General features: G+C 33.9%; 1 protein-coding gene across 4 annotated transcripts in view; it reads left to right on the plus strand.

Annotated features, from left to right (window-relative positions):
- ITGBL1 (integrin subunit beta like 1) overlaps positions 1 to 12,915 on the plus strand; it is a 268,182-nt gene that overhangs the window by 68,469 nt on the left and 186,798 nt on the right. The window lies entirely within an intron of this gene.

The raw sequence follows: 12,915 nt of genomic DNA on the forward strand, positions 1-12,915 counted from the left end.
AGAGCTGTGTTTGGGGCATAGATTCTGAGATAATATTGGAAAGTTATTCCTCATCCTTTTATTCACTCATTATTTCACTTCTTCATTCATTTCCAAGCATTTTTCTAGAAGCAAGGGACATAGCAACAGATACAACTGACGAAAATCTCTGCTTACATGCATCTTTCATTGTAATATGGGAAACAGACAATAAGTGAGAAAATAAGTAAAAAATAAAGTAGGTTAGATGGTGATAAATACTACAGAAAAATTACATGGGAGGGAGGATCAGGGATTTTTGGGCCGATGAGAAGCAATTTTAAATTGGGTTGCCAGGGAAGGCCTGCAAATCCAAAGGACCTCACTTTTGTATCCAGGGAACAAGACAGAGACCAGTGTGCCTGGATCTGGACCCAAGGGAATGAGAAGGGAGGGTGGGAGGAGATGACGTCAGAGGAGTGATGGGTGGGGACAGAAGATGCCATGGAGTCTCATCGAACCAGCTCGAAGACCTGGACAGAAGAGGATTGCTTCTCCATCCTGGCAGCATGGAGAAGGCCTTGTTCCCTGTGTGATTCCCACAGGAGTGCCGAAGAGCATCCTGCCCCTTTCCTGATGTATCCATTTACAATCCGCACAAGTAAAATTGCAACAGCTGTCCCTCTGGACTAGTTCTTTTCCTTTCTTTCTTTTTCCTTACCTTTCCTTTTCTTGCTTTTTTTTTTCTTTTTGTCTTCAGCAACAGAAATTCATTTTCTCATAGTCCTGGAGGCTCAGGTTCAAGATCAAGATGCTGTTAGGATTGGCTCTAGGTGAGGCATCTCTCCTTGGCTAACAGACACCACCTTCTGCTGTGACGGCAACATGGTCTTTATGCTCACAGTGGGAGAGAAAGAGAGAGGGAGGAAGAGGGAGAGAGAGAAGAGAGCAAAGAGAAGAGAAAGAGATTGAGTGCTCTGGTGTCTTCCTATTCTTATAAAAACACCAGCTCTATGAGATCAGGGCCCCATCCTTATGATGTCATTTAACTTTAATTATCTCCTAAAAGGCCTTGTCTCTACTTACAGTCACATGGGAAGTGAAGACTTCAACATACGAATGTTGGGGGGACACAATTTGGCTCATAATAGTATATGAACTAAAGATGTAGCATTAAAAAATGTCTATATTATACTAATAAAGACCTTACAGACTAGTTACTTTGCATCCACAAAGCTACACTACAAGAAGGAGAAGAAGAAAGATACTCTTACTATTCCCTCCCTCCATTGGGCCAGCCCTGGAGGTTATGATTTCTGTTATTCTTAACACATGTCATAGAGAAATTTGAGTTCAGCTGTGAAGAGCCATTTAAGCCTTTTGAGAAGAAATATACCTTGATCAGAACCGTGATTTAGGAAGATAAACATGAACTGCTTTGTGGGAGGTAGGAAGATTAGGAGAAGGGAGACTTATCAAGTAGATTTTAGAGTACTCTAAGAAAAATTCGATGTGGCTATTATGTGGGACATTGACAGAAGTTTCCTCAGTCAGTACATATTTACTGAGTGTCTACAATGTGCCTGTATCTACTGTAACACATTTATACAGTTCTAGGTGCCAGGAACAAGTCAGGGCTCTTTGTTATTTGCCTTTGATAAAAATGATGACAAGTCAGATTTGAGGAGCTTTAAACCCAGACACAAGAAGACATTGTTTTGATCCAGGCAGACAAGTGACAAAGAGCAAGCGCAGAGAGTAGGAATGGAATAAAGTCTTGGAGTTAGGACAATGAAGCAATATCTACAAAGGACAAGCCGTTGGTTACATCGCTGCAGGCAAAATAATGCCAAATGGACAGACATCTCAAAATGCATTCCTCTCTCGTCCAAAGATTTCACCTCAGATCGCTCAGAGATGTTTTTTCTTTTATGCAAGTTAAAAATGCAGACAAATGGAAATAATGCTGCTTTATGAAAATTCAATCTTTAGCTACCTTTATTAGCACATATCTGTTCTATGAAACAAATGTTATTTGTCCATCCTAGCTCCATTTGTCCTTGAAATAAATATTTGGCCCTAGCTCCTGGATTTCTTAGGAAATTCAATTTATTGCTGGACATGTTTCAGTAATCTGTGAATGACCCCAAATTACCTGTTCATAAGAGAAGGCCAGGCCTGGATGACAAACACAGAAGGCTTTTCATTTTTCCCATGACTTCCTTTTTTGGCAAACCATCCTCTTTGTGAGAGTCCGCCTCCAAGTTGGATTAGAAGATGTCCTGGAGCGTGCAGTTCACCACCCACTATATTGTAAGCTGAAAGTGTTTTTGCTAACTGAATGTCAAATTAATGCGGTTTTGCTATCTACATGGCATGTTTTGACAAAAATACTGTGTACCTTTATTGACAGTGAACCTTCTGCTCCGGAGTAATGCTAATCCAGGACTGCTGGTTTTTCATGTTAAAACCCATAAACTTGTTATTAGAGCAGATGACTTCCAAAACGTCAAAACTAAAGATGTTGCTTATTCACTAGAGGAGTTTATGTTGTTCACATTTAAGATGATTTATTTTTATTCACTTGACAACACTTCGAACTTCAAATGGATGCACACAAGCCAATTCTTGGAGGGGTTGTGACTGCAGAAAAAAAATTAAATCTTGTGCTCATGTGTTGCTCCATCATAGTAATCCTCAGTTTTGTCCCAGAAGTAGCATGTGTCACTTCCAGTGATTCAGGACCAGCTGGTAGAAAGGACGGACATTTCATGCTGCCATGAGCAACTGCTGTGTGGTCCAGGATGACTTTTCCAAAAGCTTCACTCACTGCTCCTCAGACCACGTCTGTTTTTGTAGAGGCAAAATGAGATGGCTGAGAGAATTGTGGACTCTGGCCAAATGAGTAGTCATTCCCTGGCTGTAAGTGGGTGAAAGAGAGGTGACAGAACCATTTTTACTGCAGTGCAGTGTGATTAATCTGTGTCTTCTTAATGAGATTAAGGGGAAAAACAAACTTTTTTTTTAATTTTTTTTTTTTTTTAACTAGCTCTCCTCTATACTGCAAGTTAAACAACTTATTCTGGCAGAAGGTTGAAAGAAGGGAACAATTGCTCCTTTGCTAGAAATTCTCTTCATTAGGAGCATAGCCTTTCAAAAAACAATGCCACTCATGATATGCTTCAGATTCTATATAATCATCTCATGTTGCACTTCTCCTAATTTATTTTATAAAAGAAGTTCTTTTTTGGTGAGAGATAGATTGTAAAACTCAATGTATTCTTATTCTTTTTTTTTTTTGCAATTATTCCTGAATACAAAACTTAAAAAATGACACCAGGGCTTTATGTCTAGAGTAGACTGTGAAAAAAATGAATACACATTTATTTGGGAAAGATATTGGTGGTCATTATGCCAATTGACATATAGTTGTCATCACTGATGTAATTTTGCATTTGTTTGTGTAATTATTTAATTAACATCTGTTTCTCCTACTGTAGTATCAGGTTCTTTTTTAGTGAGAGATAGATTGTAAAACTCAATGTATTCTTATTCTTTTTTTTTTTTTGCAAATATTCCTGAATACCAAAATTAAAAAATGACACTAGGGCTTTATATCTAGGGTAGACTATGAAAAAAATGAATACACATTTATTTGGGAAAGATATTGGTGGTCATTACGCCAACTGACGTATAGCTGTCATCACTGATGTAATTTTGCATTTGTTTGTGTAATTATTTAATTAACATCTGTTTCTCCTACTGTAGTATCAGGTATATGTAGAGGTAATCACAGATGCATCGGCTCAACACTGCTTTTGGAGGGCTGCACACAACCTTGGCACATGGTTGGCACTCCATTTGTATGTTTGTTGGTGAAAGGATGAATGAATACCTATAATTGAAATTTTATGCAATTTATTTTTTATTTTTGTAGTGCTTGTCCAAGCTTTTTTGAGCACCTCTAGCTATAGAGAAAAAGTTTTCTTCATAAGGGTGCTCAATGTGTTTTCAGAAGTTTTGGATATTACAAAGTTTTTTCTTTTATTGAACTGATATATGTTCATATATAGACTTTACCATTTAAAAATAAAATAATTGTATAGAAAAATGACTGATATTAAGGGACAACCTTCTTTATGTAATTTATGTCCTGATTAATGGACTTTTCTTGTTTGGGATTCATTCCTTTTCATTCAAGCATTGTTCACAAAACTGGATTAGTTGTTAATTACAAATGGCCTAAACTATTTTAAGAAAGAATTTTATTATGGAAAAATAAGAGTACTATAAAAAAAGTTAGTTGGGGTCACCTTGTCTATTGCAACTAAAATAGAATTGACTCAGAGCTACATTTTCATCACCTCCTTTTCTTGGCCCCCTTATTCTGGCCTTAGATTACTCTGCAGAAACACAGGCACCTTGTTTTTTTTTTTATGTGGAAAAAATTAGGTTTCTTTTTCTTATTCTTCCACTATTCCAGATGAATTCCGTGTCTATTTTCTAATAAATGCTAACTATTTTGAAGAGAAATGCATTACTCCCATAGAAAGAACAAATACTTGCAATCAGTGATGTTTTACACTTACTATTTCTATTTTAATTTGTATTTATTATAAAAATAGGGGATATGTGCACACTTGAAAACATTCTCGTTGTGTAACATTAGAGTATTACAGTTAAAACTGAAGCCCTCTTTAAGCAGTAATACCTCTATTATTAAGCATTTAAATATATATGCATATATACATATATCATTGTTTTTATGGGTTTTGATATGTGGTACCTCAAGACTCTCTTCTCTCTATTTTTCCAAATCAATATCAGTGAATCATAAATTTTGCATTTTCATATATGTTCATATATATTTCTGATATATGTTGTTTGTTTTTACTTTTGAAAAATAACAACCCTATTTTGATTACTTCACATCAAGAAGTCTGTTTCACTCTTACCTTTAGATTGTTCTGCCTTCAAATACAAACATTTTACTTGAAACTGTGGCAGTAAGAACTCTGGAGCCAAAGGCTAGTTTCTTCTTCTTCTTCTTCTTCTTTTTTTTTTTTTTAAATACTTTAAGTTCTGGGATACATATGCAGAACGTGCAAGTTTGTTACATAGGTATACACATGTCGTGGTGGTTTGCTGCACCCATCAACCCGTCATCTACATTAGGTATTTCTTCTAATGCTATCCCTTCCCTAGCCCCCCACCCCCTGACAGGCCCCGGTGTGTGATGTTCTCCTCCCCATGTCCATGTATTCTCATTGTTCAACTCCCACTTATGTTTATTGCAGCACTATTCACAATAGCAAAGACTTGGAGTCAACCCAAATGCCCATCAATGATAGACTGGATAAAGAAAATGTGGCACAGATACACCATAGAATAGTATGCAGCCATAAAAAAGGATGAGTTCATGTCCTTTTCAGGGACATGGATGAAGCTGGAAACCATTATTCTCAGCAAACTAACACAGGAATAGAAAGCCAAAGGCTAGTTTCTAGGCGCTCTTTTGGTTTGATTTTGAAATCTGAAAAATCAGCATTGAAGTTATATGTGTGTGTGTGTGTGTGTGTGTGTGTATGTAAGAAAAGTTCAGTAAACACCTTTAGCACCCAAATTAAACACTAGTTAGCATTTTTCTATAATATATTTTTATGTTTATTCATCTATAATGCCATCATAGATTTATGTATTATCTGCTTATAATTTTTTCTGAATTATTTGATAAGTTGCAGGTATCATGGCATTCTACCCCCAAATACTCCAGCTTGCATTTACTAAAAATAAGAACATTTTCTTGTATCAACATAATGCCATAATCACACCCAAGAAAAATAATAATTTCTTATATAATATCTAATTTAAAGTAACATTTTCCTATTATTTCCAGAATATTTTTAAAGCTAGATACCTTCTTTGATTCTATGCCAACAAAAATTCAGACACCCTAGTTATGTCTCTTTAGTCTCTTTTTTAAAAAATCACATCTATTAAGATAAAATTTGACTTCAATGAATCGCACCCATTTAAAGTATACACTTTAGTGCATATTGCCCATACATGCATGTTTGATTCTAACTTCATGATCAAGATACAAAACAATATCATCATCTCCAAAATATTTCCTCATGTCCCTTGACTATTCATCTCTCCTTCCATCAGCCCATAGGCAACCACTGAGCTACTTTCTGTTGTTAAAAGTTAGTTTGCATTTCCTATAATGTAATATAAAAGGAATGTTGTACATTGTACTCTTCTGTGTCCAACATCTTTTGCTCTGCATGCTTTTGAGATTCATCCATGCTGTTGCATATAGTAGTACATGTATGGATATATCACTATTTCCTTCACCATTCAACTATGGATGGTCATTTGAGTTGTTTCCATTTGAGGCTATCATGAATAAAACTATGATGTATATTCATTCCTAAGTTTTCATGTAGGCATGTGTTTTGTTTCTCTTGAGTAAATGCAATAATACATTTAATTTTAGAAGAAACTGCGAAACAGTTTTAATAATCCTCAACAATGTCTGGGAGTTCTGGTTACTCTGTATCTGTCAAGACTTGTTTTTTTCAGAGTTTTAATTTAGCCATTCTAATAATGTGCTCAACTTTCACTGATATCAAATTTCAGTTAAATTTTACTAGTATCAAATTTCACTGATAAGTATGTTTTGAATATTTTCATATGGTTATTGGCCATTTATATACATTCATTTGGAAAGTGAATGTTCAAATTTTATCGTATTTATTTAGGAATTTGTCTTCTCATTACTCAGAAGAACATTTATATATTCTTGATAGGAATCCTTTGGCAGGTATACATATTGCAAGTAATTTTTCCCATTCCATAGCTTGCCTTTTACTTTTCTTATTGTATGCTTTGAAGGTAAAATGTTTATGGTTTTGCTAAAATCCAATTTGTAGATTATTTTTTCTTTAATGGCTCATATGTTTTGTTTGCTATATAAGCAACCTGGTGTTTTCTTCTTGGAAAATGTTTTATTACAAAGTTATTGTTTTTATATAAAAATATATATAGGTTTATTAATATTTAATGGTTTATTAATATTTTTCTTTTTTGTCAGTTTTTATATTTCTGTCTTTCAGTGAATTTATCCATTTAATCTAAGTTTTCAATTTATTGGCATAGAGCTATTTATAATATTGTCTTATTGCCTTTATAATATTCAAGGAATCTCTAGTTGTGCTCACTCTAATTTAGAATATTGTAATTTGTTTATTACTTGTGTTTTTAACATAAATGTTTGTGTACATTGTTGTTTATAAATTTCAGTGATCTTTCCAAGAAGTCAGCTTTTGGCCTCATTGATTTTTCTCTATAGTTTGTTTTTTTATTTCCTTTATTTTAGCCCTTATATTTATTAATTTATTTGTGCCATGTTGTGTTCTTCTTTTCCTAGATTCATAAGGAGAACTCTTAGATCATTGATTTTTAGCATTTTATTTTGTTATTATTTTGCTTAAAATATTTTTTAAATTTATTTGTGATTTCTTATTTTACCTATGGTTTAGAAACAAGTTGTTTGTTCTCCACATACTGAATGTATATAATGAATGTTCTGTCAAAGTCGTTAAGTAGTTCTTAAAATGAAATTAACAGAAGAGGGAGCTTTGTAAAGGTAAACAAGGATTTCTGAACTTCAAAATTATGGATCAAGTAATTTTCTATAAAAATAAGCATAGCAAAATATTTAGGCCCAATCCCATAGTAAGATATTGTAAGACAAAAGAGAATGAGACAAATAACATCCCTAGAGGTAATAAAAACTAGTCAAATAAAATAAATAAAAATATCAACTTGTATTTCAAAACTAGCTAAATGACATTAAGAATATAATGCAAAACATGGAATAACATTATAAAACAGAATTAGAAAAACTCAAAAATTAGGCACTATACCATAGGGAAAAATAGAAATGAAAGAAAATAATAATTTCAGAAATGAAGACTAAACTAGAAATATCAAAAGAACAAATAAACACATGGATAATGCTTTAAGAAAAACCGAAGTTGAAAGTAGAAAAAAATTGAGAAAGAGAAATGCAGAAAGAAATACATATAATTTGAGAGAGAAATTGAAACGTGGAATATGAATAAAGAACTTCTTAAATATGGTTAATAGGCATCTCTAAAGAAAAAAAAAGCAAGGGAAAGAACTGATACTAAAATCTATAATTCAGAAAAAGTTTCTGCAGTGAGAAAAAGATGAAAAAGATTTCAAACTACGTGTTGAAACAGCATACCAAATGCCACATTGACCAGAATTAACCAAGACCAAAATATGTTCTAATAAAACTACCAGATTCTAAAGAAAAAGAAAGAAAAAATAACAACTGGGCATCCAGAAAGAACAGTAAGTGACACTGGAAAAAGAAAACTATGTTAGCATCCCTATTTTTGGCAAGTATAGTTTACTCCAGAAGAAAATGAGGCTACATAGTTCATGTGGTTTGGCTCTGTGTCACCACCTTGAATTGTAATCCCCACGTGTTGAGGGAGAAACCCAGTGGGAGGTGATTGGATCACGGGGGTGGTTTCCCTCATGCTGTTCTCATGATAGTGAGTGAGCTCTCATGATATCTGATGGTTTAAAAGTGGCACTTCTGCCTTTGCTCGTTTTCTCCTGCCGCCATAAAAGACTTGCTTTGCTTCCCCTTCTGCCATGATTTAAGTTTCCTGAAGTCCCTGCAGCCAAGTAGAACTGTGAGTCAATTAAACCTCCTTCCTTTGTGAATTACCTAGTCTCAGGTAGTTCTTTTTGGCAGTGTGAAAACGAACTAATTCAGCAGTTAAGATAATCAAGAAAAAAATAACTTGTGAGCCCACAATTTTCTATCTAAAAAAATCACCTTCCAGTATAAAAGGCGTAGACAAACTGTTATCTATAAGGAAGAACTCAGGGAATATTGAGTAATCTAATAAAGAAACAGCCTAAAACAACCAAAATGCCTAGAGAGAAGAGACAGGTGGTACACATTAAACACTGGTGGGAAGCATTAAAAACATAGTTACTTTTGTTGACAAGTCTTACTTTAGTACGAAGACTAGAACAAGTCTTAGTGTAGAACTATGACTAAATGCAGGTTAATGGGGGAAAAGTATGAAATGTAATTATATATAGAGAGAGAGAGAGCGCGAGGGGAGAGAGAGAGTAGTGATGGACAATCAAATTACATTTTCACTTTAAAGAAAATAATATACTATAGTGATGTCTACTAGTATCTTATAAGTAAGAGTAATTATAATAATATTAGCAATTGCCTTGCTGCTTCTGTGCCAGGCATAATTGGGTGCCATGTATCAGGGTGATCCTTTTCCCCACCCAGGGTTTTGCTTAGATGGTTCTCCCTTAAAAATGCTTTTGCCACTGTCTTCTAGTTTCCCAGCCCTTCCCTTTTGGTGGAAGGCTTCCAAAACCAAGACTGAAAGTCAAGTTTGTTTATGCTGATGTGTACTCTCTGGACATTTTTCTTGTAATAGAAATCAGTGTTATTTTATTTTACATCCTGATATTTTATATATTTTATCTAAATTTGTTTGAATATGTTTGGTAATTTACATATGTAGCCTTTAGCTTACAAAAAAATTAACACACACATTAAATCTTCAATTTTATCTAATCTAATACACTGATGAGATTTTGATTCTTTAGGTTGGCTATTGACCTAAAAACACATTTTTGGGATATGTCGCATGTAAGCAGCAACAGTTTCTAATGAAATCTTCTTGGACTGACTATCAACTTCAAATTCTTGAAGGGCAAACCACATTTACTTAGTGTCTGGTTGGGTCTAGATTCATCTTAAAAAATCACTAAGAAAAGTAAAATCATGTTCGAAAGTCCATGGAGGTTTCTTGTCTTTCTTTCTTTGAACTACTAGAGGAGCTGTAATATAGGAAGAAATATTAGAGGATTTTTTTTATTTTAAAAACTTTGGAGGCATACAGGATAAACTTTCAATAATGGCTAAGTTTATGAAATTTAACTGAAATGTGTGTACTATATATTTAGTTGTAACTGTTGATTTTAAAAAAACGTATACTAGTTGGTTCTAATCAGAAATTGTCAATATTTATGTAATGTAAGTGACTAAAAGTTATGGAATACAAAAAAGTAAACAATTGTTTACATGATATGTTTTCGGGGCTCTGATATTTCTGCTGCTGCTCCACTGAATTGCAGTTTAACTTAGCTGTAACTTAAAGTTTCAGTTTCAGTTTTTGCTAATCATTAATATTCATTCACTTATTCAGTTCTTAAATATTTATCCAGGTCCTGCTACTTTTGTGGGTGTGATATTGTGCTGTTTTAAAGCAATACTCTGGAAAGGATTAAAAAGCCATTAACAATATAGAGTGAAGTCAAGGTCAGTGAGTAGGATTTTGCAGAATTGGAAGTAAGACATTTGCACTCGAAAACAGGGGTAGTTGGTTTCTGGAACACGCTACACCCGATTACTTCATAGCGTATTTTTTGGGGGGAGGGGATTTACTTTATTTCTTAAGTAGTTTAGGTATTTTATTAGTGATTTTGATTTTTCTTGAAGGTTTTATTTTTTTTATTTTGTTATTTATTTATTTATTTATTTATTTATTTATTTATTTATTTATGTTTTTTAGACGGAGTCTCGCTCTGTGGCTCAGGCTGGGGTGCAGTGGTGCGATCTTGACTCACTGCAAGCTCCGCCTCCCAAGGTTCATGCCATTCTCCTGCCTCAGCCTCCCAAGTAGCTGGGACAACAGGCGCCTGCCACAGGCCTGGCTAATTTTTTTTATTTTTTTGGTAGAGACGGGGTTTCACCGTGTTAGCCAGGATGGTCTCGATTTCCTGACCTCGTGATCTGCCCACCTCGGCCTCCCAAAGTGCTGGGATTACAGGTGTGAGCCACCGCGCCCGGCCAGTTTTATACTTTTTAATTTACTCTCCAATATTCAAGACATACAACATGCACATCTTAAAATAAGTTGTGTATCTGTATTTAAAGAACGAATTTTTTTCAAGTTATTTCTTAGAAGTTATTTATTTGAAGAGATTATTTTTAATCATATGGTTGCTGTTGAATAAATTTTTAAAACAAAATATGTAAAGAAGTACACAAAATCATTTTCAGTAATTCTCTCCTTATCCAAGAAGGCAAGTTCTATCTTAAGAACCTGCACAGAGTAAATATTCAGTACATTATCTATCAAGTAGTGTGTTATTCACTGCAAATTGAAAATCATCAAATTCCTAGTTGTTCTGCTTAATAGATGCTTAACTATATTTTAGCAGATTCCAAATATATGTTAATATATATTTTTGGAATTCAGCATGAGTATCTTTAGATGCTAATTGCAAGTTAATCTTTCTTCCTAGAATGTAAGTTCCATGGATTATAAACGTTATTCCTATTGCAGATTTTCTAAATAGTGTTTCTGCTGGTGAAGTCTTCTTCACTCTCTGGTGCTTAAGATTAGAAAGAAAAAAGGAAAGTAACTGAACAAAAGAAATTCTTTGAACATGAAATTATCAAATGAAACTGTACATATGCAAAGGAATTTTAAACCATTGCCTTGCAAAGTCTTTTTTTGCATAACAACGTTTTGATAAAATGAAGAGACTGACCAAAGTAACAACTCTAAATAATAGCATTTCACTGCCATAAGGATGATTGTAATTATCAGTGGAAGCCTAGAGCATTAGGTCCCAACTCCTAATATTAGTTTCAACTTTTATAGCCTGGTTGTTCAAAGACATGCAATTAAACTAACCTAGTATTATTGGAATAGAAAATAAAGAACTACTGTTGGAAACACAATTAACAATACATAATAGAGGGGCCATATTTCCAATGGCTGCATATTAAAATCAACATTGAGCTAAACTAAGCATAGGCCAAAGCTGAATATCATCATCATAGGACATACTTCTAGGATTACAAGAGTGTATCTGAAAGTGACTACCACTTTAATGATATTAATTTTATCATTAAAAGGTTTTATGGTCAAATTTCAAAATCATGGCATTGTAATGTAGGGTGAAAGTTCCTCAGCACTGCCATGTGATTATTTCTGCAATGAACCTGCTGCACATTTGCCATTCTAAAAGGACACTGACTTTCAACTTGTGTCTCTGGAAGAGCCAGACCCACCTCTGCTAGTATAGCTTACTGCTAATAGTCATGCTGCAGTAACAACATTATCAAGCTTTTCTCCTTCTCTCAAAGAAAATGATTCAGGTAATGCTTTGCTTCCTTTGCAACCCAGGGATTGGACCTACTGTCTTCAAACAAAGCTCTGTGCAGTGTTGGTAGAAATGGTTTCTGAATATTTTTAGAAGCAGACTTAAAACTGTAGCATGATTTCTTGTATTTTCCACAAATGCACTTGATGCTTTACTCATTCATTGAGATACGTAATCCTTCAAGTCTGGATCCTTCCCTATATTTGATGTTAAATAAATGTTAAATGTATTGGTTAAAACTTTTTGATTAGAAGTTAAGTGTAAATCCAAACACTAAGTTTTGTTCATATTATTCACATTCTGAAACTCATTTGGTATGATATTAAACTTTATAACAGAGAAGACTTTGCAGCAGGTAATTGAGTATTATGATTTCCAATGCTGAAGTACAATAAAAGAGTTTGGCTAAGCATCTCTTGGCTAAGGCCTAACATTAGTGTTTTCCTAATATGATTCATAAAACATTCTTTTCTAATAAAAACAATCTATTTGGCTGCTACTTTGGACACCTTGAAATCAAAGAAGATTAAATATTCCATTAATAATGTTAAATTAGTAAAGTAGGAAATGGTCCAATTGTTCAAATCTTTGCCTATTTTCCAAGTTAAAAAATAAGCCACTAAGGAAACAAAGAAGAAATAATCAGAGATAGAAAGGCATTCAGAAAATAGTGTGTCAGGGAAGACAAAGATAGTTTTTCAA

Source organism: Homo sapiens, chromosome 13 (assembly GCF_000001405.40).
Source record: "Homo sapiens chromosome 13, GRCh38.p14 Primary Assembly".
NCBI classification, from domain to species: Eukaryota; Metazoa; Chordata; class Mammalia; order Primates; family Hominidae; genus Homo; species Homo sapiens.